The sequence below is a fragment of the Homo sapiens genome, chromosome 4 (assembly GCF_000001405.40).
Source record: "Homo sapiens chromosome 4, GRCh38.p14 Primary Assembly".
Taxonomy (NCBI): Eukaryota; Metazoa; Chordata; class Mammalia; order Primates; family Hominidae; genus Homo; species Homo sapiens.
The window spans coordinates 52789523-52817393 of NC_000004.12; the positions used below are offsets into that span (position 1 = coordinate 52789523).

A 27871-nucleotide genomic window follows, 5' to 3' on the forward strand; every position below is an offset into this window, starting at 1 on the left:
CACCTTTCTATTTGGGTATTATGATATCCACTTTTATTCGTGAGGAAATTGAACTTATTCTGGGTCATTCAGTTCAAAATTAGCAATATTAAGTTTTAAAATTTCTTCTACTGTTCTCCAAAACTCAGATTCTGTTTTTTTTTTTTTTTTTTTTAGACTGAGTCTCACTCTGCCGCCAGGCTGGAGTGCAGTGGCACAATCTTGGCTCACTGCAACTTCCACCTCCAGGGTTCAAGCCATTGTCCTGCCTCAGCCTCCCAAATAGCTGGGACTACAGGTGCGTGACACCATGCCCAGTTAATTTTTGTATTTTTAGTAGAGACCAGGTTTCACCATGTTGGCCAGGATGGTCTTGATCTCTTGACCTCGTGATCTGCTCGCCTTGGCTTCCCAAAGTGCTGAGATTACAGGCATGAGCCACTGCGCCCAGACCAAAACTCAGATTCTTTTACTTATGACATCATCAAAAGCACATCAGAGTTCTACTCCTAATAACAAATGTTTAATTTTTAATGAAATGTAGGTGTTAGACCTTTACTAAGTACGGGCAGGAATTTCTGACAGAAGCGGATTTTAGAAACCCTGGTTCTTATGTGTCCTCCCTCTCTCTCTTGCTCTGTCTGTTCATTCATTATTTATTTATTTATTTTTGAGACAGGGTCTCACTCTGTCAACCAGGCTGGAGTGCAATGGCGTGATCACAGCTCACTGTAGCCTCGACCTCCCAGGCTCAGGTGATCCTCCTGCCACAGCCTCCTGAGCAGCTGGGACCACAAGGGTGCACCACACCCAGCTAGTTACTTTATTTTTTGTAGAGACTGGGTTTCACCATGCTGCCCAGGCTGGTCTCAAACTCCTGGATTCAAGCAATCTGCATGTCTCAAGCAATCTGCCTTCCGAAGTGCTGGGATTATAGGCATAGCCACTGCACCCCACCCATTTGTTCTTTCTTTCTCTCTAGTCTTCTTTTATTTCTCCCAATCTTAAGAGAGAGCTTTAGCTCCTAGGCCTTCATCCAGCCATCCATATCTCTGGTATGGACAAATGCAGTTTTCACCATCATATATCAAATATGTCCTCGAAGCCAACCCTTTCCCCGACCCGCACATCCAGCCTGGTGCCTTAATCTCACCCTTTGTGGAATTCCGTGCCAGGCCTTATGTTCTAGTGCACACCTTAAAGGGGATCTGCATATCCAAAAAGCTGTGCTGCTCAGGAAGCAAGGAGGCCAGCCCCTCCGGCTGCTCCCACCATCCTCTCTGTGCTCTTTTCTGGATCTTACTTGCAGTAGGGCAGGAATTCCAGGCTTTTCATTTTTCCTACCTCTATGAGGAGAAAAAAAGAAAGAATGTTCAGATGGGTGGATAAGGCACATGGATTCCTCCACCTGAGGACTCCCAGAAAAGCAACTGAAAATGGAACACATGTTTTAATTTTTTCAGATTCAAGCCTCATGTTTTCCAACAGAACACAAATGTGACATGACGCTTCTCCACGGAAGCAACAAGTGTGGGGTTAAGCAGGGAGAACGAAGGTGGTAACAGAGGCCGGTGTCAAGGGAGTGTGAAGGGAAGGAAGGGCTCTTTGCTCACACCATGGGGGGCAGGGGAAGGTGTGGACTTGCCCTTTGTCCTCCTCTGGACTCTTATATGAGGCTGCCTTTTGCTTCCAAATCTGCCAGAACTTGAGATGAATGCCCAAGCCATAAAATAAATGGGCTGAGGTTCAAGAAAGCCCACCTAGCCATTCTTACCAATGGTGACCGGAGTTACGTTCATAAACAAATTAGGAGGATCAGTCACACTGATGGACCAAAAGGTCATACTTATACAGCAGTAATGTCTGTGTGGATATGAAGCACATATGCTGTTCATATTGGTATTAAAGTGGCGGTGGATCAGACATCGGACCTGGCTCAGGGGTTGCCTCCTCAGGAAGCCTTCATTGACTGCTCCTGGCAAGGCCTCCAGGATAGATGGGACTTTGCTCATGCGGCAATCCCTCCGGATACCCAGCAGCACATTTACCTGGGATATTCACTCTGTTCATCTATCTCTCTTCTCACTAGCCTGTGACCTCCTTGAGGATGAGAACAGTGTCCTTCTTGGCTCTCCAATACCAGCACTCAATCTAGGGCCTGGCACACAGTAGGGCTTCAAGACCTGTGTCTTGAGGCACCTTAAGCCTTTAGGTAGTTGGAGACAGGATAATTAGTGGTTTATTTTCAGGGACCATGGACCCAGACCTCCTAGGGCTGAATCCTTCTATCAGCTCACAATAACTGTAGGCTCTTAGTCCTCAATTTCCTCATCTGTAAAATGGAACTCTGATTGGTACCCACCTCTTTAGACTTTTGAGTGCTGAATGAGATAATTATTTTAAAAGTTTAGCCCAGGGCCTGCCTAGTAGCAGTTCAGTAGTGATTCATTTAACAATAGCTAATCTTACTATATCATTAGGCAGAGAGCTTTTCTGAGCAAGAGCAAATGGAGTCTAGTTCTGTCCCTTTCTTTGCCTTGAATCCAGGTTTCAGAGAGTGATTCATCCTAAATCCTGCTTCTCCCTATATGGCATGTAAACCCTTCCAGATTCCTGGAAACTACATCCTGGTTGTTTATCTCAGCAAGGTGAGCCGTCGACCGAAGGCTCGTGACCACTATCTCGAAAAGCAGGTCAGTTTAACTTTGGTATTTCTGAGGAAGCTGATGACATCAGTCCATTTCTGGCTATTTGATGATTTCCTCCTGGTTGCTGTATGTCTTAGTCCATTTTCTGTTGCAATAACAGAATACAATAGACTGGGTAATTTATAATAAACAGAAATTTATTTCTCACATATTTCCAGAGGCTAGGAAGTCCAAGATCAAGGTGCTGGGATCTGGTGAGGGCTTTTGTGCTACATTAGCTCATGGCAGAAGGTGGAAGGGCAAATGAGTACACAAGATAGGGAAAATTGGACCAAATGCATCCTTTTTTCAGGAGCCCTGTCCCACAACAACTAATCGGCTCTGGTGATAATGGCATTAATCCATACATGAGGACAGAGCCCTCACGACCTAATCACCTTTTAGAGGTCCCACCTTTTAACACCATCACAATGACAACTAAATTTAAAATGGGTTTTGAAGGCCACATTCAAACCATAGCACTGGGTTACAGGATGAACACTGGAAAGATGGAGCCATGTTTAGTTCCTTGGTACTTCTAGATATTTAAATAGCTCACAGATTGGGTATTTCTCAAAATTAACATCCTCCTTAAAAATGAATACTCACTCTCACCCTCTGCCAAGTCCTTTTATTATTATAACCTCATTAATTGTCGTAACACTTCTATGAGAAGGGCCAGATAGCCTCCCTTTTACAAATCAGATATTAAAGTCCCAGAGAAGTTAAGTGAATTGTCAGGGTCACACAGAAAACAGCAATGTGTGTGTTGCGGGAACACTATAGAACTCAGGACTCTTGACAATGAGACCAGTTGACTCAGTTTGGATACCTGTCCTCCCCAAATCTCATGTTGAAATTTGATCCCCAGTGTTGGAGATGGGACCTGCTGGGAGGTGTTTGGGCCGTGGGAGTGGATCCCTCATGACAGGCTGCAGAGAATTGCCACTCTCCCATCAAGAGTACAGTCTATTTCTCCACCTCCTTGAATCTGTGTAGGTCCTGTGACAGATGCACTCACAGAATATGGCAGAAGTGACTCTCCACCTGTTCCTGGTGTGACCCTTCACTGGCCCATACTTGTCATAACACTTTGGCCTGGCAGCTTCGGTTTCTACCTTTAGAAGCCAGTTGTCAAGTAAGAAGCGCAGGTACACTGAAGCCACCATACTGCACGAAGCCCAGGTGAAGTGGGGGAGGCCTGGGGGGCAAAGCACTACATGAAAAAAGAAAGTCCAGAAGGCACTGAGGCACCAGCCATATGAGGGAGCCATTTTGAGTGTCCCGCTTGGGTGAGCCTTTGGATGACTGCAGCCCCGGATGCCATCTGATTGTGATCTTGAGACTCTAGATGAGAATCTCCTGTCTGATCCCAGCCAAAGCACAACTTTGTGAGCGGTAATAATACATTTTGGTTTAAATCCATTTGGTTTTGAGGTGGTTTGTTATGCAGCAATACATAATGTGAACACTGGCACAGAATAGGCAGTTGGTAAATACTTATCAAAAGAACAATTAATAGATTTTGTTCTTTTCATTCTTTGATTGCTGGAAGCTAAAAGGCCCACAGTAATTCTTAGTCAGACCGAGGATCAGAATGTCTTCCAGGGTGGAAGTCTGTCCTGTATCACAACATCCTTACCAGAGGCCTGTGATTTAATCCTTGCAAGACTAGACCAAGAAGAAGACAACTTCTGCAAGAGTAGGTCTGGGAACTGAGGGTGCATCATGGGAGATAAGACCAGGGCAGTTGGCAGGTTGTCCCTGGCCTCTTTGCTTATTGTGGCATATGTCATCTTTATTTTTTTAGTGGTTTTTTTTTTTTTTTGAGACGTAGTTTTGGTCTTGTTGCTGAGGCTGGAGTGCAATGGTGCGATCTTGGCTCACTGCAACCTCCACCTCCAGGTTCAACTGATTCTCCTGCCTCAGCCTCCCTAGTAGCTGGGATTACAGGCATGTGCCACCACGCCCAGCTCATTTTGTATTTTTAGTAGAGACAGGGTTTCTCCATGTTGGTCAGGCTGGTCTCGAACTCCAGACCTCAGGTGATCCACCTGCCTCGGCCTCCCAAAGTGCTGGGATTACAGGCATGAGCCACCACGCCCGGCCAACATGCCATCTTTAAATCATCATACACATAGCTGAGTGAGACAGGCAGAAGGCAAGGAAGTCCATGGAATGCAAAAGATAGAGAGGTGAGCAGTGGCTGTGACTGTCTCTGGGCAGTGGAGTTACAACCAATTTAAAATATGTCCTTCTTTTTGTTAATTTGTATTTTCTAAACAACCTTCAAAGTATGTCTTACAGTTTTACCAAAAATAATAAATATATATATATTTTTTGAGAAGGAGTCTCACTCTGTTGCCCAGGCTAGAGTGCAGTGGTGTGATCTTGGCTCACCGCAACCTCCCCCTCTGGGGTTCAAGCAATTCTCCTGCCTCAGCCTCCCAGGTAGCTGGGATTACAGATGTGTGCCACCATACCCGGCTAATTTTTGTATTTTTAGTAGAGATAAGGTTTCACCATGTTGCGCAGGCTGGTCTCAAACTCCTGACCTCAAGTGATTGACCTGCCTTGGCCTCCCAAAGTGCTGGGGTTACAGGTGTGAGCAACACACCTGGCCAATAAACTTTTATTTAACAATTTCACTTGTGCTGTGAACTTTGCAGAAGGCCAAAACAACCACACCAAAATTGTAACAAGACAAAACAACCAAATAGAAACCCAGCCTCCAAAATTACATTCTCTTCCTCCAAAAGATTAAAGCAAGAACTACCATATGATTCGGCAATCTCACTACTGGGTATATATCCAAAGAAAATGAAATCTGTATGTCCAAGAGATCTTTATACTCCCACGTTCACTGCAGCATTCTTCAAAATTGCCAAGATACAAAATCAACCCGATGTCCATGGATGGATGAATAAATAAAATGTGATGTATATATACACACACTATTCAGCCTTAAAAAAGAAGGAGGCTAGTCATGGTGGCTCACACCTGTAATCCCAGCATTTTGACAGGCTGAGGTGGGAGGATCACTTGAGGCCAGGAGTTCGAGACCAGCCTTGGCAACAGAGTGAGACACTGTTTCTTGAAAAAAAATTTGTTTTTAATTTAGCCAGGTATGGTGGTATGCATCTGTAGTCCTAGCTACTTGGGAGGCTGAAGCAGAAAGATCACTTGAGCCCAGAAGCTCAAGGTTACAGTGAGTCATGATCATGCCACTGCATTCCAGCCTGGGCCTCAGAGCAAGACAAGAAGGAAGGAAGGAAGGAAGGAAGGAAGGAAGGAAGGAAGGAAGGAAGGAAGGAAGGAAGGAAGAAGAAGAAGAAGGAAGGAAGGGAGGGAAAAGAAAGAAAGTGAAGAAAGAAAGAAAAAAGGAAGGAAGGAAGGAAGAAAGAGAGAGAAAGAAAGAGAGAGAGAGAGAGAAAAAGAAAGAAAGAAAGAAAGAAAGAAAGAAAGAAGGAAAGAGTCAGCTGGATGTGGTGGCATGCACCTATAGTCCCAGCTACTCTAGGAGAAGCTGAAGCAGGAGAAGGAAGGAAGGAAGGGAGAAAGAAAGAAAGAAAGAAAGAGAAAGAAAAGAAAGAAAGACAAAAAAAGAAAGAAGAAAGAAAAGAAAAGAAAGAAAGAAAGGAAAGAAAGAAAGAAAGAAAAAGAAAGAAAGAAGAGGAGAGGAGAGGAGAGAATAGAAGAGAAAGAGAAAAACAGATTCAGCTGGGCATGGTGGTGTGCACCTATAGTCCCAGCTATTCTAGCAGAGGCTGAAGCAGGACAATGCCTTGAGTTTATAAGTTCAAGTCCAGCCTGGGCAACATAGTGAAAGCCCATCTCTGAAACAAAACGAAACAGAAAAAAGAAAGGAAGAAATTTTGTCATTTTTGACAATATAGGTGAACCTAGAGGACATTATGCTAAGTGAAATAAGCCAGGTACAGAAAGATACATAGTGCCTGATCTCACATGTGGGCTCTAAAGAAAGTCTGAAACTCACAGAAGCAGAGAGTAAAATGATGGTTAAACAGGAGGAATAAGTTCTAGTGATCTATTGTACAACATGATGACTGTAGTTAATAATGAATTATATATTTCAAAATTGCTAGAAGAGTAGATTTTTAATGTTCTGACTACAAAGAAATGATAAGTATTTGAGGTGATGGATATGTTGATATGCTTGACTTAATCATGCTGCAATGTGTATGTACATATAACATCACATTGTATCCCATAAATGTATAAAATTGTTTGTTAATTAAAAATAAAAATTAAAATTAAGTAAATATCATGAAAAATTACATTCTCACCAGCTAATCATTTTTTTTCAGTCTTCAAGGCCATTATTTCAGGAAATAAAGAAATATGCCATCCTAAAGTAGCTTATAAAGGGCAAATGAGAGTGAGCCTTGGGTAGGGTGTGGCAAGGGGGTGGCAACTGTCTGGAAGCCAGGTGCAGAGGACTCTCTCATCTTTATTTTTCCATGGAATATTTAGTTTCCTCAGCTTGGTCCCTTAGTGTCCCATCTAGCAGCATCTTGGATTCATCAAACACTCTGATTTATAATTATCCAGCATTAAGTTGCTCTTTGGCAACAATTTTTGGTGATTCTGCTCATTGGTGTGTGATTAATTACACCCTATTAAGAGACCAGTATATATTCTGTGGGAGTGTAACCTTGTCTAATTTGTGGAGAGCAGCTTTCAGTGCAGCCAGCTCAGGAACCATTTAATACTGAATCACCAGCAAAGAATCATTGCTTCTAAAGCAGGCAGCTCAGGATTTGGAAATCTGATGAGGAAAAAATAAAATAAAACCAGAAAAATTAGTTTGGGAAGGGAACAACTCCACCTCCCCAGTTAGGTACTCCCAGGGGTCTCCTAAGGGTAGGTTCACAACTATTTAATGTCATTTGATTCAACTGACACTTACTGACTCCTGCTTTATGTCAGGAGCTGTTTGGGCCACTGGCTCCACATAACACATGGCATTCATTCATTCATTCATTCATTTAGTAAGAATTTAGTGAGCATCTATTATGTCCCAAGCATATTCTAGATCTAGATTCTTTTCTTACATCACACCAGGGTAGGAATTTCTGTTTTGTGCATTGATATAACACAGGAATCTAGACCTAGAACAATGCTTGGCACATAATAGATGCCCACTAAATTCTTACACACACACACACACACTCCTCCTGATGCTCTTTACCCTCTTCTAGTGGAAAGGAAGAATAACAATAAATCTTATACATAAGCAAATAATCTAGTATATTAGCAGGTGGCAAGTGCTACAGAAAATAAGAAAGACAGGAGGAGATACAGACAGAGGAGTGACAGAGGGATGAGGGAAGTGAGGAGGCCAGAGCATGCAGGGCCTCTCAGGGTGTTGTAAAACCTTGGGTGCGGCCAGGCGCGGTGGCTCAGGCCTGTAATCCCAGCACTTTGGGAGGCTGAGGCGGGTGGGTCACGAGGTCAGGAGATCCAGACCATCCTGGCTAACACGGTGAAACCCCGTCTCTACTAAAAATACAAAAAATTAGCCGGGGGTGGTAGCAGGCACCTGTAGTCCCAGCTACTCGGGAGGCTGAGGCAGGAGAATGGCATGAATCTGGGAGGCGGAGCTTGCAGTGAGCCGAGATCTCGCCACTGCACTCTAGCCTGGGCGACAGAGCGAGACTCCGTCTCAAAAAAAAAAAAAAACCCTGGGTGCAACAGTGCATGTAGAATTCATCATAAAAGCACCATTACTGAGCACCTATTGTATGTCTAATACTGTACATAGTTACTTCTTCACCTACACCATCTCAGCTATTCCTCACAAGGGCCACGTAAGGAAGATTTCCTCCCCTTTACTTCACAGACAGGAAACTGTATTATTTAACACGGTTGTATAACTAGTGAGTGTTTGAGTTGGGACCCAGAGCCAGTCTCTTTGCCCCAAAGCCCACACTCTTTCTACTCCATCACATAACCTTGCAAGAAGTGCAATAAAAATGCAATGACCTGGGCAATACTGAGAATAACATGAATACACCTGCAGCTTCAAATCATCGTAACAGAGCAAACACTTTTCAAGAGCTTTATACATCATACATATCAACTCATCTCATCTTCTCCACAATCCTATGAGGGCCCATCAGGATGTTCCCCATTTTTTAGATGAAGAATCTGAGAGGTCAATTGACCTGCGTGTCATGCAACTAGTAAATGGTGGATCCAAGCTCTGAGCCAAAGTGGCTGGCTCTGTGTTCATAACCACCGCACTCTGTTGATTCATTCATTTATTCAGAATTATTTGTTGAACACTGTGGCAGGAAGGATAATTGCCCCCTCAAAATGTTCATATTTTAATCCTGGAACCTGTGAATATTCTATTTTACATGACAAAAGGGACTTTGCAGGTGTGATTATGTTAAGAACCTTGAAATGGATATCTGGGAGTATCCCAGCAGGCCCAGTCTTTAAAAGCAAGTCCTTAAAAGTGAGAAACCTTCCTGACTGTGGTCAGAGGGAGTTGTAACTGTAGAAGAAGGGTCAGAGCAATGCATTGTGAGAAGGACTTGACCCCCCTGCCCTGATCAGTTGCTGACTTTGAAGATGGAGGATGGACATGAGCTAAGAGGCAAGAAAATGGATTCTCCCCTAGAGCCTCCAAAGGAAACCAGTCCTGCTGACACTCTGATATTAGCCCGGTGAGATCATGTGGGACTTCTGCCTTACAGAACTGTAAGATGATACATTTGTGTTGTTTTAAGCCATTTAGCTTACGGTAATTTGGTAGCACAGCCATAGAAAATAAACATGACCACCTACTATGTGCCAGCACTGTTGTAGTCACAGAGGATATGGGAGTGAAGAAAATACAGCAGAGTAACTCATGGTGCCTATGATAGCAAAACACTGGGAAAAATTGTGGAGAGAAGCAGCATGAAGTCACCGTGGCCTAGGAAATGCCTTCCTTTCCCTCCATACCCTAAGGTTGGAGTCAGCAATCCTGTGCTACTGGAGAGGAGAAGGCTGCACCTTCTGTCCAGAGCTTTACTCAATTAAGTACAGTCTGCCTTCTGTGTCCTTGAATTCAGCATCTGGAGATCCAATCAAATGCAGATACAAAATCTCTGGGGAAAAAAATAGAAAATAACAATAAAACAATACAAATAATACAAAAAAATATAGTGTAACAACTATTTACATAGTTTTACATTGTATTAAGTATTACAAGTAATCTAGAGATGATTTAAAGTATACAGGAAGATGTGCATGTGTTATATGCAAATACTATGCCATTTTATATAAGGAACTTGAGCATCTGCAGATTTTGATATCTTTGAGGGTCCTGGAACCAATCCCCTTCAGATCCTGAGGGATTATTATATTTGCTTTTCAGGCTTTAAGCAGTCTTGAATTTGAATCTGAGCTCCTCACTTCTTGGCTTAAGCATGTCTATGAATCTTCTGAGACCATCTCCTCATCTGCAAAATGTGGGTATTGAAACATACTTTACAACTACATATGTATGTTGTATTATGTATCTGTTCTTATACTGCTATAAAAAGAGACTGGGTAAGTTATAAAGAAAAGAGGTTTAATTGGCTCACAGTTCTGCAGGCTGTACAGGCAGCACAATGCTGGTATCTACTTGGCTTCTGAGGAGGCCTCAGGAAACTTACAAACATAGCAGAAGGCAAAGGGGAAGCAGGCATGTCTTACATGGCCAGCGCAGGAGGAAGAGAGAGAGAGGGCAGAGGTGCTGCATGCTTTTAAATAACCAGATCTTAACAGAACTCACTCACTATCATGAGAACAGCACCAGGAGGTGGTGCTAAACCATTCCTGAAGGACCGCCCCATGATCCAATCACCTCCCACAAGGCCCCACCTCCAACACTGGGGATTACATTTGGACATGAGATTTGGTGGAGACACAGATCCAAACCATATCATATGTGTATAGACTTTTATAAAAAAATCTGTGTCTATAGCTATAATTTAAATGACACTTGTGGGGTTGCTGTATCAACCTGCTATACCTGGTTTTAGATTTCACGCTACAGTAAAGAGTTAAAAAAATCATCTTATTTAAGGACCACACAACAAATCAGAGTAATATACATGTCAATCTCTTACCTTTGGGGGTAAAATAATGGGACATTTCCATTTTCTACTTTTATATATTGTTAATTAAAATAAAAAAACTTTAATATTTTTGTAAGCAGGAAAAAATAAAGATAAAATGAAAATGATAGTAAAGACCCGAATTACATACCTGTCAGGCTTCTTGGGAGCATTAAATAAGCTCTTGGTGCTTGAGAAAGAGCATCAAGGGAGGACGTGGGAAGAGATACAGCACTTGAGCCATAAAGTTCAATGCTAATCAATATTGTGGTCATGAACCTGAGATCCTGTAGGATTCTGAAGCAGAGTCTGTTCAGTGTTGGATACTTTCTGGACTAGTACATTTAATTTTATTGTAATTATTTGGAGGATGGCAAATTCTTTGTAGATAGAATCAGAGTTTTATTTCTCTTGAATCCCTGACAGCTCCTAGGGTAATGCCTAACTACATCATAGGTGGTGAATACTTTTTAACTAATTGATGAATTTATGTTTCATGTACATTACATATAGTAACTTATTGTTGAGTGAGCTAGAATACTCCATATGGGAAGTGGACTAGAATGTACTATATTGTACCCTGGTGTTAAAGAACAAGTGCCACTTGGGGCTTATAAAGAACTATTTGGAAAAATTCATTACATCTAAAGATAAACTTGGTGGGAACACTGCAAATAACTTATGAAGCCATCAATACCTTGATTCCAAACCAGAAATAGCAGACAGTTTGAGAAAAGAAAATTATAGATCAATTCTATTCATGAATATAGACATGAAAATTTTTAACAAAATATTGGTTAACTTAATCCAGCAATTTATAAAAAATAATAATAAAACAGCTGTTTGAGAATACTAGTTTAATATTCAAAAATCAAACCATGTGTTACATTGTACTAACAGTCTAAAGAAGAAAAACCACATGATCATATCAATTGATGTAAAAAAAGCACTTGACAAAATTCAACATCCACTCATAAAAACATTCAGAAAACTAGGAATAGAAACCAATCCAAATTTCGATATCTAATTTTACTAGTTTTAATTATAAACACTCAGCAAACTAGAAAGAGAAGGAAACTTCCTCACTCTGATAAACGATATCTACAAAAACCTATAACTGGCATCATACTTAATGTACTTAATGGTGAAAGACAGAACACTTTCCCTTCAGGATTGGGAACAAGATAAGGTTTTCCATTCTCAATGTTCTTGTCCATCATCATATTGAAAGTTTCTAGCCAGTGCAACAAGGTAAGAAAAAAAATAGGCATATAGATTGGAAAGGAAAAAAAAAACTGTTTGCAGATGACCTGACTGTTTACATAGAAAGTTCAAGGAATCTGTGGGTTGCTGGCAAGATGGCCAAATAGGAACAGATTCAGTCTGCAGCTGCCAGTGAGATGAATGCAGAAGGCGGGTGATTTCTGCATTTCCAACTGAGGTACACTGTTCATCTCAATGGGACTGGTTAGGCAGTGGGTGCACCCCACAGAGGGCAAGCAGAAGCAGGGTGGGGTGTCACCTCACCTGGGAAGTGCAAGGAGTGGGAGAGCCTCCCTTTCCCAGCCAAGGGAGGCCATGAGGAACTGTGCTATCCGGCCCAGATACTATGCTTCTCCCACATTTTTTGCAATCCACAGACCAGGAGATTCCCTTGTGTGCCTTTACCACCAGGGCCCTGGGTTTCAAGCACCAAACTGGGCAGCTGTTTGGGCAAACATCGAGCTAGCTGCAGGAGGTTATTTTTTTTTCTTATTTTTATTTTTTTAACCCCAGTGGTGCCTGGAACCCCAGCAAAACAGAACTGTTCACTCCCCTAGAAAGGGGGCTGAAGCTAGGGAACCAAGTGGTCTCACTCAGCAGGTCCCGCTCCCACAGAGCCCAGCAAGCTAAAAACCACGGGCTTGAAATTCTCACTGCCAGCACAGCAGTCTGAAGCCAACCTGGGACGATCAAGCTTGGTCGGGGGAGGGGCCTCTACCATTACTGAGGCTTGAGTAGGTGGTTTTCCCTTGACCATGCTCAAAACGCTTGGAAGTTCAGACTAGGCAGAATTCAACACAGCGTGGCAAAGTGGCTGTGGCTAGACTGCTGTTCTAGATCCCTCTTCACTGGGCAGGGCATCTCTGAAAGAAAGGCAGCAGCCCCAGTCAGGGGGCTTATAGATAAAACTTATAGATATAACTCCCGCCTCACTGGGACAGAGCACGTGGGGGAAGGAGAAGCTGTGGGCATAGCTTCAGTGGACTTAAACATACCTGCCTGCCAGCTCTGAAGAAAGCAGTAAATCCTGACAAGGAGGGTTCTCCCAGCACAATGCTCAAGCTCTGCTAAGGGATAGACTGCCTCCTCAGGTGGGTCCTTGACCTCCGTTCCTCCTGACTGGGAGAGACCTCCCAACAGGAGTTGACAGACACCTCATACAGGAGATGTCTAGTTGGCATCAGGCCAGTGCCCCTTGCGGGATGAAGCTTCCAGAGGAAGGAGTAGGCAGCAATCTTTGCTGTTCTGCAGCCTCCAGTGGTGATACACAGGCAAAAAGAGTCTGGGGTGGACCTCCAGTAAACTGCGGCAGACCTGCGGAAGAGCGGCCTGACTGCTAGAAGAAAAACTAATTAACAGAAAGCAATAACATAAACATCAACAAAAGGAACCCCCACAGAGAAACTCCATCCAAAGTTCATCAATCTCAAAGATCAAAGGTAGATAAATCCACAAAGATGAGGAAAAACCAGCACAAAAAGACTGAAAATTCCAAAAACCAGAATGCCTCTTCTCCTCCAAATGATCACAACCCCTCTCCAGCAAGGGCACAAAACTGGAGAGAGAATGAGTTTGATAAGTTGACAGAAGTAGGCTTCAGAAGGTGGGTAATAACAAACTCCTCTGAGCTAAAGGAGCATCTTCTAATGCAATGCAAGGAAGCTAAGAACCTTGACAAAAGGTTACATGAACTGCTAACTAGAATAACCAGTTTAGAGAAGAACATAAATGACCTGATGGAGATGAAAAACACAGCACAAAAACTTTGTGAAACATACACAAGTATCAACAGCTGAATCAATCAAGTGAAAGAAAGGATATCAGAGATCGTAGATCAACTTACTAAAATGAGGCATGAAGACAAGATTAGAGAAAACAGACTGAAAAGGAACGAAGAAAGCCTCCAAGAAATATGGGACTATGTGAAAAGACCACACTACGATTGATTGGGGTCCCTGAAAGTGATGGGGAGAATGGAACCAAGTTGGAAAACACACTTCAGGATATTATCCAGGAGAACTTCCCCAACCTAGCAAGACAGGCCAACATTAAAATTCGGGATATACAGAGAAAACCACTAAGTTACTGCTCTAGAAGAGCAACCCCAAGACACATAATTGTCAGATTCTCCATGGTTGAAACGAAGGAAAAAATGTTAAGGGCAGCCAGAGAGAAATGTCAGGTTACCTATAAAGGGAAGCCCATCACACTAATGGTGAATCTCTCTGCAGAAACCCTACAAGCCAGAAGAGAGTGGGGGCCAATACTCAACATTCTTAAAGAATTTTCAACCCAGAACTTCATATCCAGCCAAACCAAGTTTCATAAGTGAAGGAGAAATAAAACCCTTTACAGACAAGCAAATTCTGAGGGATTTTGTCACCACCAGGCCTGCCTTACAAGAGTTCCTGTAGGAAACAGTAAATATGGAAAAGAAAAACTGGTACCAGCCACTGCAAAAACACACCAAAATATAAAGACCAACGACACTATGAAGAAACTACATCAACTAATGTGCAAAATAACCAGCTAGCATCATGATGACAGGATCAAATTCACACATAGCAATATTAACCTTAAATGTAAATGGGCTAAATGCTCCATTTAAAAGACACAGACTGGCAAATTGGATGAAGAGTTAAGACCCATAGGTGTGCTGTGTTCAGGAGACCCATTTCATGTGCAAAGACACACATAAGCTCAAAATAAAGGGATGGAGGAATATTTACCAAGCAAATGGAAAGAAAAAAAAAGCAGGGGTTGCAATCCTAGTCTCTGATAAAACAGACTTTAAACCAACAAAGATCAAAAAAGACAAAGAAGGGCATTACATAATGGTAAATGGATCAATGCAACAAGAAGAGCTAACTATCCTAAATATATATGCAACCAATACAGGAGCATCTAGATTCATAAAGCAAGTTCCTAGAGACCTACAAAGAGACTTAGACTCCCACACAATAATAGTGGGAGACTTTGACACCCCACTGTCAATATTAGACAGATCAACAAGACAGAAAATTAACAAGGATATTCAGGACTTGAACTCAGCACTGGACCAAGTGGACCTAATAGATATCTACAGAACTCTCCACCCTAAATCAACAGAATATACATTCTTTTCAGCACCACATAGCACTTATTCTAAAAATTAACTACATAATTGGAAGTAAAACACTCCTCAGCAAATGCAAAAGAATGGAAATAATAACAAACAGCCTCTCCAACCACAGTGCAATCAAATTAAAACTCAGGATTAAGAAACTCACTCAAAACTGCACAACTACATGGAAACTGAACAACCTGCTCCTGAATGACTACTGGGAAAATAATGAAATGAAGGCAGAAATAAAGATGTTCTTTGAAACCAATAAGAACAAAGACACAACATACCAGAATCTCTGGGACACAGCTAAAGCAGTGTTTAGAAGGAAATTTATAGCATTAAATGCCCACATCAGAAAGTGGGAAAGATCTAAAATTGACACCTTAACATCACAATTAAAAAATCTAGGGAAGCAAGAGCAAACTAATTCAAAACCTAGCAGAAGACAAGAAATAACTAAGATCAGAGCAGAACTGAAAGAGATAGAGACATGAAAAACCTTTCAAAAAATCAATAAATCCAGGAGCTGGTTTTTTGAAAAGATTAACAAAACAGATAGACAGCTAGCCAGACTAATAAAGAAGAAAAGAGAGAAGAATCAAATAGACCCAATAAAAAATGATAAAGAGGAAGCACCACTGATTCCACAGAAATACAAACTACCATCAGAGAATACTATAAACACCTTTACGCAAATATACTAGAAAATCTAGAAGAAATGGATAAATTCCTGGGCACATACACCCTTCCAAGACTAAACCAGGAAAAAGTTGAATGCCTGAATAGACCAATAACAACTTTGGAAATTGAGACAGTAATTAATAGCCTACCAACCAAAAAAAAAAAAAAAAAAACCCAGGACCAGACAGATTCACAGCTGAATTCTTCCAGAGGTACAGAGAGGAGCTGCAACCATTCCTTCTGAAACTATTACCAACAATAAAAAAAGAGGGATTCTACCTAACTCATTTTATGAGGCCAGCATCATCCTGATTCCCAAACCTGGCAGAGACACAACAAAAAAAGAAAATTTCAGGCCAATATCACTGATGAACATCAATGTGAAAATCCTCAATAAAATACTAGTAAACTGAATCCAGCAGCACATCAAAAAGCTTATCCACCATGATCAAGACAGCTTTATCCCCGGGATGCAAGGCTGGTTCAACATACACAAATGAATAAACATAATCCATCACATAAACAGAACTAATGACAAAAATCACATGATTATCTCAATAAATGCAGAAAAGGCCTTCAATAAAATTCAACACTCCTTCATGCTAAAAAGACTCAATAAACTAGGTATTGATGGAACATATGTCAAAATAATAAGAGCTGTTTATGACAAAGCCATAGCCAATATCATACTGAATGGGCAAAAGCTGGAAGCATTCCTTTTGAAAACCAGCACAAGACAAGGATGCCCTCTCTCACCACTCCTATTCAACATAGTATTGGAAGTTCTGGCTTGAGCAATCAGGCAAGAGAAAGAAATAAAGGGTATTCAAATAGGAAGAGAGGAAGTCAAGTTGCCTCTCTCTGCAGACGACATGATTATATATTTAGAAAACCCATTCTCTCAGACCCAAAACTCTTTAAGCTGATAAACAACTTCAGCAAAGTATCAGGATACAAAATCAATGTGGAAAAATCACAAGCATTCCTATACACCAATAACAGACAAGCAGAGAGCCAAATTATGAGAGAACTCCCATTCATAATTGCTACAAAGAAATAAAATACCTAAGAACACAACTTACAAGGGACTTGAAGTACCTCTTCAAGGAGAACTACAAACCACTGCTCAAGGAAATAAGAGAGGAAACAAACAAATGGAAAAACACTCCATGCTCATGGATAGGAAAAATCAATATGATGAAAATGGCCATACTGCCTAAAGTAATTTATCGATTCAATGTTATTCCCATCAAGCTACTATTGACTTTCTTCACAGAATAAGAAAAAACTACTTTAAATTTCATATGGAACCAAAAAAGAGCCCATATAGCCAAGTCAATCCTAAGCAAAAAGAACAAAGCTGGAGGCATCACGCTGCCTGACTTCTAACTATACTACAAGGCTACAGTAACCAAAACAGCATGGTACTGGTACCAAAACAGAGATATAGACCAATGGAACAGAACAGAGGCCTCAGAAATAACACCACACATCTACAACCATCTGATCTTCGACAAACCTGACAAAAACAAGCAATGGGGACTGGATTCCCTATTTAATAAACGGCACTGGGAACTGGCTAGCCATATGCAGAAAACTGAAACTGGATCCCTTCCTTACACCTTATACAAAAATTAACTCAAGATGAATTAAACACTTAAATGTAAAACCTAAAACTATAAAAACCCTAAAAGAAAACCTAGGCAATACCATTGAGGACATAGGCATGAGAAAAGACTTCATGACTAAAACACCAAAAGCAATTGCAACAAAAGCCAAAATTGACAAATGGGATCTAATTAAACTAAAGAGCTTCTGCACAGCAAAAGCAACTATCATCAGAGTGAACAGGCAATGTACAGAATGGGAGAAAATTTGTACAATCTACCCATCTGACAAAGGGCTAATATCCAGAATCTACAAAGAACTTAAACAAATTTACAAGAAAAAAACAAACAACCACATCAAAAAGTGGGCAAAGGATATGAACAGACACTTCTCAAAAGAAGACATTTATGTGGCCAACAAACATATTAAAAAAAGCTTGTCATTATCAGTTGTCATTAGAGAAATGCAAATCAAAACCACAATGAGATACCATCTCATGTCAGTTACAATGGCAATCATTAAGAAGTCTGGAAACAACAGATGCTGGTGAGGATGCAGAGAAATAGGAAGACTTTTACATTGTTGGTGGGAGTGTATATTAGTTCATTCATTGTGGAAGACAGTGTGGTGATTCCTCAAAGATATAGAACCAGAAATACCATTTGACCCAGCAATCCCATTACTAGGTATATACCCAAAGGGTTATAAATCACTCTACTATAAAGACACATGCACACACATGTTTACTGCAGCACTATTTACAATAGCAAAGACTTGGAACCAACCCAAATGTCTATCAATGATATACTGGATAAAGAAAATGTGGCACATATACACCATGATACCATGCAGCCATAAACAAGGTTGAGTTCATGTCTTTTGCAGGGACATGGATGAAGCTGGAAACCATCATCCTCAGCAAACTAACACAGGAACGGAAAACCAAACACTGCATGTTTTTACTCATAAGTGGGAGCTGAACAATGAGAACACATGGACATAGGGAGGGGAACATCACACACTGGGGCCTATCTGGGTGTGGGGGTAAAGGGGAGGGCAAGCATTAGGACAAATACCTAATGCATGCAGACCTTAAAACCTAGATGATGGGTTGATAGGTTCAGCAAACCACCATGGCACACGTAAGCCTATGTAACAAACCTGCACATTAAGCACATGTATCCCAGAACTTTAAGTAAAATTTTTTTTAAAAAAAAGAAAGTTCGGCCGGGCGCGGTGGCTCACGCCTGTAATCCCAGCACTTTGGGAGGCCCAGGCTGGCGGATCACGAGGTCAGGAGATCGAGACCATCCTGGCTAACACGGTGAAACCCCGTCTCTACTAAAAATACAAAAATTTAGCCGGGCGTGGTAGCGGGCGCCTGTAGTCCCAGCTACTCGGGAGGCTGAGGCAGGAGAATGGCGTGAACCCGGGAGGCGGAGCTTGCAGTGAGCCGAGATCGCGCCACTGCACTCCAGCCTGGGCGACAGAGCGAGACTCCGTCTCAAAAAAAAAAAAAAAAAAGAAAGTTCAAAGATTCTGATAACAGCAACAACAAAATCCAAGAACTAATAAGTGAGTTTGGCTAGTTTGCAGGATGCAAAATAAACACACAAAAGTCAACTCTATTTCTTTATATTAGCAATGAACAATTGGAAATCAAAACTTTAAAAAAATACCATCGACAATAGTTACTCCCAAAATAAAACACTTAGGTATAAATCTAACATCATAAGACATGTATGATGATCACTACAAAACACAGATTAAAAATAAATCAAAGAAGACCTAAATAAATGGAGAGACATATCATACTCATGGATTGGAAGACTCAACATAGTAAAGATGTCAGTTGTCTCCAGTTGATGTACAGATTTAATGTCATTTCAATCAAAATTGTAACAATTATTAAAAAGATAGAGAGAAGCTGATGCTAAATTTTATATGGGGAGGCAAAAAAGTAAGATAACCAAAACAATTCCGACAAAGAAGAAAAAGTTTAGAGAAATCATACTATCCAATTTTAATACTTACTCCAAAGCTATAGTCATCAAAGCAGTGAAACAATTGTGAGTACTAGCAAAGAGAGACACATAGTTCAATAGAAAAGAAATGAGAGTTTAGAATTAGACCCACACAAATATATCTAACTGATCTTTCACAAAGGCAAGTCAAAGGAGAAAGAATAGCCTTTCAACAAATGTGGTTTGGACAAGTGAACATCTATATGAAGAAAAAGAAAGAAAGAAAGAAAAGAAAGAGAGAGAAAGACAGAGAAAGAGAGAGAGAAAAAAAGGAAAGAAAGGAGAGAGAAAAAAAGAAAGAAAAAGAAAATAACTTTAACCTAACCCTCACAGCTTACAAAAAAGTTAAAAAGAATCATAAATCTAAATGTAAAACTTAAAACTATAAAGTTAGTCTTCAGTGGAATAGATCTAAAAAGTTAGATCCTTTCAGTCCATTACATTTTAAAGAGAAAAAATTAAATTAGCTGGGCGTGGTGGCATGTGCCTGTAATCCCAGCTACTTGGGAGGCTGAGGCTGGAGAATTGCTTGAACCCAGGAGGCAGAGCTGAGATCGCCCCACTGCACTCCAGCATGCGCAACAGAGCGAGACTCCGTCTCAAAAAAAAAAAGAAGAAAATTTAGCAAAAAGGCAATCTCCCCTTTAATTTAGAGGAACAATCGGGAGTAAAAAGGAAAGAAAACATACTGGGAAAAAAAGAATTGGTGAATCACATGGAGAAATGTGGCCTGGGAGATCTACCTGGGAACACGAATCCCCAGAAATAGCAGTGTCTTGACAGCCTTTGAACTCATTTATTCATTCACCAAATATTTACTGAGCCCCTTCTATATCTGAGATTCTAAGTACACAACAGTAATCAAAAAAGAACCCATCTTGTTCTATACCCATGGAGATTACACTGAAGCAAGGGAAATAGGCTTTAGACAAATACTAATAAGTACATAATAACAACCTGTGAAAAGTGCTATGAGAGAAACAACAGTGTAAAAAAGTAACTAGGTGAGGTGATGGATGTGTTAGTTTGCTTGACTGTAGTCATCATTTCACTTTGTGTATGTATATAAAAGCATCATGTATACCTTAAATACGTACAATACAAACTTTTTAAAAAGGGAACGGGAAAGGGGAGAAAAGAGGAAATAATAGATTATCATCCTAGGAAAGACCAAAAGGGAGGCCTGCTTTAAGTTGGGATGGGGATCAAGGAAGGTGTTCCTGAGGAGGGGTCAGAGCAGTTGAGCAGGAACAAGCCAGAGAAAGACTGATGGGGAGAGGGCTCCAGGCAGGGGTGGGCTACACATCAGACCTCAGCTGGAAAAGTGCTGAGGGAATATGAGAAATGGAAATATAAGAGACGAATTGCCTGTGTGGATGGGGAGGGGTGGCATGAGATGGGGCCGAAGAAGACACCCAAGGGCTTTTATGCAAGGGAGTGACATGATTCAATGCAAGCTGTCAAAAATTTGCATTGTCAATGTATGAAAACTGGCCTTGTGAGAAAGTAAGGTAAGTGGTTGGAAAGTCTTGACAGAGGTCTATGGTGGACTTATTGGTGACATGTCAGTGAAGATGAGAAAAGTGAACAGATTTGAGAGGTGTTTTGAAAGCATTAGTTTGAGGATGGGGCGCAGTGGCTCACACCTGTAATACCAGCACTTTGGGAGGCTGAGGTGGGCAGATCACGTGAGACCAAGAGTTAGAGACAAGCCTGGCCAACATGATGAAACCTCGTCTCTACTAAACATATAAAAAAAAATTAGGTGGGGCCGGGCGCAGTGGCTCATGCCTGTAATCCCAGCACTTTGGGAGGCCGAGGCAGGCAGATCACGAGGTCAGGAGATCGAGACCATCCTGGCTAACACGGTGAAAACCCGTCTCTGCTAAAAATACAAAAAATTAGCTGGGTGCGGTGGCGGGCACCTGTAGTCCCAGCTACTCAGGAGGCTGAGGCAGGAGAATGGCATGAACCTGGGAGGCAGAGCTTGCAGTGAGCCGAGATAGAGCCACTGCACTCCAGCCTGGGTGAAAGAGCAAGACTCCGTCTCAAAAAAAAAAAAAAAAAAAATTAGCTGGATGTGGTGGCAGGCACCTGTAATCCCAGCTACGCAGCTACTTGGGAGGCTGAGGCAGGAGGATCACTTGAACCAGGGAGGCAGAGGTTGCAGTAAGCCGAGATCGTACCATTGCTCTCCAGCCTGGGTAACAGAGTGAGATTCTGTCTCAAAAAAAGGAAAAATAAAGTGTTAGTTTGAACACTGTAAATTGTCCATATTTGGCCTTTTTTTTTTTTTTTTTTTTTTGAGATGGAGTCTCTCTCTGTCACCCAGGCTGGAGTGTAGTGGCTCTATCTTGGCTCACTGCAACCTCCACCTCCCTGGTTCAAGCGATTCTCCTGCCTCAACCTCCCTAATAGCTGGAAGTACAGGCGCGTGACACCACACCCAGCTAATTTTTGTATTTTTAGTAGAGAAGGGGTTTTGCCATGTTGGCCAGGCTGGTCTCGAACTCCTGACCCACCTCAGCCTCCCAAAGTGCTGGGATTAGAGGTATGAGCCACCATGCCCAGCTGGCTTTTTTTTTTTCTACAAAGATGAAAATTTCATATGATTTGGTCTAACAGATTTCGCAGGACTGGTGAAGGAGTTGGAGGGAGGAGTTAGGAATAAGAATGACCCCCATGTTTCTGGCCTTAGCTGCAGAGCATATGGAAGTTTATTGAGATGGGGAAGACTGGGGGAGGGAGAGGTGCTAAGGTGTGGGGGTTGGTAGAAGAAGCTCAGTTGACAGATGTGAAGTTTGTGATATCCGTGTGATGTCCAAGTAGAGATGTCCATGAGGCAGTTGTTACAGGATTTGGGAGCTCAGCAGAGAGTTCTAGCTAAGACACACATTTAGGATTTTTAGCATATTAGATGATATTGATATGTGGGAATGGATACACGCATCTAGAAGAAAGTTTAAAATGAGGAGAGAAGAGGGCCCAGCACCTCCAATATCTGGAGACTGGGTATAGGAGGAGGAGCAGCAAGAAACTGGAGAATGAGTCAGAGCTGCAGGAGGAAAACCAGGAGAGTGCAGCCTATGAAGGCCAAAAGAAGAGCAGGAGTCAACAAAAAAGAGAGAACGGTAGACTGTGTTGGATGCTCCTGAGGGGTCTAGCAAGAGGAGACATTGATTATTTGTTGTTTAAACTCCAGGTTAAGGCCAGACATGGTGGCTCACACCTGTAATCCCAGCACTTTGGGAGGTTGAGGCGAGTGGATCGCTTGAGCTCAGGAGTTTGAGACCTGCCTGGGCAACATGGTGAAACCCCATCACTACAAAAAATACAAAAATTAGCTGGGTGTGGTTGCACACACCTCTAGACCCAGCTACTCAGGAGACTGAAGTGGGAGGAATTGCTTGAGTGCAGGAGGTGGAGGTTGCAGTGAGCCGAGATTGCACCACTGGATTCTAGCCTGGGCAACAGAGCAAGACTATGTCTCAAAATAAATAAATAAATAAATAAAATCCAAAGTGAGAAAATATACCTGCTACTCTGTAAAACACAGATTTGGTAACATCACAGAAAAGAAACCCTACTATTGCTGTGAATGGATATAACAATATAAACATATACATTGTGTTTGCTCTGTGCCAGGCACTGCTCTGAGTATTTCTTATATATCCACTCATTTAATCCTCACCACTCCCAGTTTACAAACAGGACAAAGGTAAATAACTTGTCCCATGTCAAAGGGCTAAATGTAATGGAGCTGGAATTAAATCCAGGCATTCTAGCTCTGGGGTTAGTGCTATTAACTATTATACTCTCATGAATGATTGACAGATTCCTTAACAAATTTGAAAGCTGTCATTTGAAATACAGAATGTCACTGCTGATGCATTCAGATAGCTGCCAAAGGTGAAACAGTTTTCAGTTTAGAATTTTAGTGGATTTGCTATAAGGACGTGTTTGTGTGTGTGTCCACGTGTTTTAACTTCTCTAATCCTGGGCAGACCTATTGCCATATGTGGTAGATGGTTTCAGAGATGCTTACAACAGTCTCTCCCATCCAGCATGCCCTTAGCCTCTCCTCCATCAAGAGGAAGGGCCTATTCCTTTCCCCTTAAATCTGGGCTGCCCTTTGTGACTTGCATCAGCTGATTAAAACGGGGTGGAAATGATGTTCTTGGACTGTCAAGGCCTGGCCTCAAGAAGCTTTTAGTTAGTTTTTTTGTTTGTTTGTTTTTTGTTTTTTGTTTGAGACAGAGTCTCGCTCTGTTGCCCAGGCTGGAGTGCAGTGGCGCGATCTTGGCTCACTACAACAACCTCCTCCCAGGTTCATGTGATTCTTGTGCCTCAGTCTCCCAAGTAGCCGGGATCGCAGGTGCCTTCCATCATGCCCAGCTAATTTTTGTATTTTTAGTAGAGATGGGGTTTCACCATATTGTCCAGGCTGGTCTCGAACTCCTGACCTCAAGTGATCTGCCCACCTTGGCCTCCCAAAGTGCTGGGATTATAAGCATGAGCCACCACACCCAGCCAAGAAGCTTTTAGTTTCTGTTTTCACTTAGGAAAAGCAGCCATCATGTAAAGAACTCAAGGCTCTTCTGCTGGAGGGAAAAACATCTGAAAAGGAAGGCCCTGGAAGATGAGACAAAATGAATCCAGAGAGGTCAAGGGAAGAAAAACTGAGGCGTCTCAGTTGAAAGCCAGCACCGCAGCCCGAGATAGATGAGTGAGGCTGTCTTGGATCTCCAGCCTAATGAAATGCCAGCTGGACACAGCTGTGTGAGTGAACCAGCAAACACCATGTAAAACAGTCTTTATGCTGAGCCTGGCACAACCTCCTGACCCACACAGTCGTGAACAATAAGAAATGGTTGTTGTTTAAGCCACTAAGTTTTGGGGTGGTTTGTCTTGCCACAATGTGTAACAGATAAATTCAATCTCAATCCTCTCTCTATGTTCCTGAGAAGAGTGTTAAAGTCAAGGAAGGGCCTTTTACTTTGACTCACAAGTCTACAAGACCTTCAACGCCTGGGTTAGATCCTCTTTCCTCTGTCTCCACTTGGCTTCATGTACCCAATAAAGAAGATTTTGATGTCCTCAGACACCAAAATGTCAGTGGATTTCTTTGGGTCTTGTAGTTATAGGTAACTTCCTGTATTTTTCAATTTTTCTAGAATTAGCAAAAATTATTTTAATAATGAGGAAAGATATACCAAAACTCTTTTTCATAACCGTGGCAGCATGGCAACCACTGTTTGTGGGTTGCACAGCAGCCACTCCCAGACTTTGTCTTTCTTCCCAAAGAGCCTGAAAGAACCAGGTGCTCATCTTCCCAGTCTCCTTTGGTGCTAGAGGCAGCCATGCAATCAAATACCAACAAGATGCCAATAGATACGAAGGTAAGTCTGCTGAGAGGCTTCTGACCAAGAGTTTTCCTTGTTGGGAAGGAAAGAAGGAAGGAAGAAGAGCTCTCTCTTGTTTTGCTCCTTCTGCGCCCTGCCTTTGGTTGTGGACACGTAAGATTGTGATGTTTGGAGCTCTTTAGCCATTTTGCAACCATAAGGTAATGGGTTTACAGTTTAAAAAACTAAAGAAAACAATCTACTCAAAAATAAAAAGGAGGAAAGAAACAGAGATTGAAAAGCACTTGGCTTCTTGATATCATCATTGGTTGCTGAACCAACGCTGAGACTTCCCGTCTGTTGACTACCTGTTAACTAATTGACGAATGTCCGTATAGTTTAAACCAGCATTAATTTTTTTTTTTTTTTTTTTTTTTTTACTCACAGCTGAAAGCATCCTAGCTAATACAGCATCTCTCTGGGTATTGAACATTCTCTTACTGGTACAATCGTCCCTTCAGTATACATGGGGGATTGGTTTTAGGACCACTGCATATACCAAAATCTGCATATACTCAAGTCCTTCAGTCAGTGCTGTGGAACCCATGAGTGCCAAAAGGCAGCCCTCCATATACACAGCTTTCATGTCTTGCCAGTACTATATTTTTGGTCCATGTTTGGTTGAAAAAAAACCTATGTATATGTGGACGTACATAGTTCAAATCTGTGTTGTTCAGGGGTCAACTGCACTTAGTTTTCCCATGCAGCTAAATTCAATTCTTCCCGCTGTAAATTAATCCTTTTCCCTCTTTTTTTGTCACAGTGGGGACAAGACTTGCTGCTTATCAATCTTTGCAGTAGAGGGAATTCTGTGGCAGGCAGCTATCAGACTTGAACTGCAATACCGGCTCTTCCTGGCTTTCCAGCTTGTGGGCCCCGCCTCCATAATCATGTGAACCATTTCCTTAAAATCAATCACCCCCTGTGACTTATTTATATATATATGTATATGATCTGTTTCTCTGGGGAACCCTGACTAATACAATGATCTAAACCAATTTTCTGTTTTGATTTTAGCTTTGTATTACGGCAATTTGCTATCTATCCAAAAATCAATAAAATAGAATTAAAAACTCCCATGCATCTAGCACCCAGCTTCAACAATGGTTAATTTGCAACTTTTCTTTCTCATGCTATACTCCCACCCACTTAACTACCTCCCATATTATTTCCAGGCCAACCCCAGACATTTTATCATTTTACCTATATACCTTTCAGTATGCATCCCTAGAAACTAATGACTTTTAAAAATATAACCACAATACCATTTCCACACTTAAAAATAATTCCTTAATATCATCAAATATTCCATCATGTTTAAATTTCCACCAATTATCTATCTCTTAAAAATTGGGGCTGAGCATGGTGGCTCACACTTGTAATCCCAGCACTTTGGGAAGCCAAGATGGGTGGATCACTTGAGCCCAGGAGTTCAAGACCAGCCTGTGCAACATGGTGAACCCCCATCTCTACTAAAAATACAAAACATTTAGCTGGGAGAGTAGTGGTGTGCACCAGCTATTTGGGAGGCTGAGGTGGGAGGATCACCTGAGCCCAGGAGGTCGAAGCTGCAGTGAGCTGAGATTTTGCCACTGCACTCCAGCCTGGGCGACCAGAGTAAGACCCTGTCTCAAAAAAAAAAAAAAAAAAAAAAAAAAAAGTTATACTATGTATCATTTTTTAAAGTTAATACAGAAGTAGGACCTACTCATTGAAGAAGTTTTGGAAAACATGAGAAAGCACATAGAATAAAAATGAAAATCACCTGCAGTCCCCACCAGCCTATAAGATGCCATTGTATGATTAGAAAAAGATGGACCTTTCCAGCAGGCACAACCTGTGCCAAGATGCCAGCCACCACTTATTGTCTCAAGTGGTACCCCCGCATCCTGCACAAACTGGGCCATTGTACACTCATGGCCCTGAATATTCCACCAGTGTTTACATTTTGAAGTAGAGCCTTCCAGATTGTTTATGGATATAGGCATAATTTTTGTATAATCAGTTCCATGCTATACATTCTGTTTTGTAAGCAGCTTTTTTTTTTTCACTTAATAACAGACCATAGAGAGTGGAGCCAAGATGGCCGAATAGGAACAGCTCCGGTCTACAGCTCCCAGCGTGAGCGACGCAGAAGACGGGTGATTTCTGCATTTCCATCTGAGGTACCGGGTTCATCTCACTAGGGAGTGCCAGACAGTGGGCGCAGGCCAGTGTGTGCACGCACCGTGCGCGAGCCGAAGCAGGGCGAGGCATTGCCTCACCTGGGAAGCGCAAGGGGTCAGGGAGTTCCCTTTCCGAGTCAAAGAAAGGGGTGACGGACGCACCTGGAAAATCGGGTCACTCCCACCCGAATATTGCGCTTTTCAGACCGGCTTAAGAAACGGCGCACCACGAGACTATATCCCACACCTGGCTCAGAGGGTCCTACGCCCACGGAATCTCGCTGATTGCCAGCACAGCAGTCTGAGATCAAACTGCAAGGCGGCAACGAGGCTGGGGGAGGGGCGCCCGCCATTGCCCAGGCTTGCTTAGGTAAACAAAGCAGCCGGGAAGCTCGAACTGGGTGGAGCCCACTACAGCTCAAGGAGGCCTGCCTGCCTCTGTAGGCTCCACCTCTGGGGGCAGGGCACAGACAAACAAAAAGACAGCAGTAACCTCTGCAGACTTAAGTGTCCCTGTCTGACAGCTTTGAAGAGAGCAGTGGTTCTCCCAGCACGCAGCTGGAGATCTGAGAACGGGCAGACTGCCTCCTCAAGTGGGTCCCTGACCCCTGACCCCCGAGCAGCCTAACTGGGAGGCACCCCCCAGCAGGGGCACACTGACACCTCACACGGCAGGGTATTCCAACAGACCTGCAGCTGAGGGTCCTGTCTGTTAGAAGGAAAACTAACAACCAGAAAGGACATCTACACCGAAAACCCATCTGTACATCACCATCATCAAAGACCAAAAGTAGATAAAACCACAAAGATGGGGAAAAAACAGAACAGAAAAACTGGAA

The 27871-nt window shown here is 42.2% G+C and overlaps 1 long non-coding RNA gene across 1 annotated transcript, besides 2 other annotated features; it reads left to right on the forward strand.

Annotated features, from left to right (window-relative positions):
- The first annotated feature begins 471 nt into the window (after positions 1 to 471).
- On the forward strand, positions 472 to 25942 carry LINC01618 (long intergenic non-protein coding RNA 1618). The gene is made up of 5 exons (NR_040106.1): positions 472 to 519; positions 1443 to 1569; positions 2527 to 2672; positions 10057 to 10150; positions 25631 to 25942. It is a non-coding gene; the product is annotated as a long intergenic non-protein coding RNA 1618 (long non-coding RNA).
- Positions 26661 to 27266: an enhancer, noted in NCBI's record as "OCT4-NANOG-H3K27ac-H3K4me1 hESC enhancer chr4:53682350-53682955 (GRCh37/hg19 assembly coordinates)". NCBI's record gives its function as "activates a minimal SCP1, AML or CMV promoter by ChIP-STARR-seq in primed H9 embryonic stem cells {active_cell/tissue: H9 hESC(primed)}" and the evidence as "EXISTENCE:reporter gene assay evidence [ECO:0000049][PMID:30033119]".
- Positions 27267 to 27871: an enhancer, noted in NCBI's record as "OCT4-NANOG-H3K27ac-H3K4me1 hESC enhancer chr4:53682956-53683560 (GRCh37/hg19 assembly coordinates)". NCBI's record gives its function as "activates a minimal SCP1, AML or CMV promoter by ChIP-STARR-seq in primed H9 embryonic stem cells {active_cell/tissue: H9 hESC(primed)}" and the evidence as "EXISTENCE:reporter gene assay evidence [ECO:0000049][PMID:30033119]".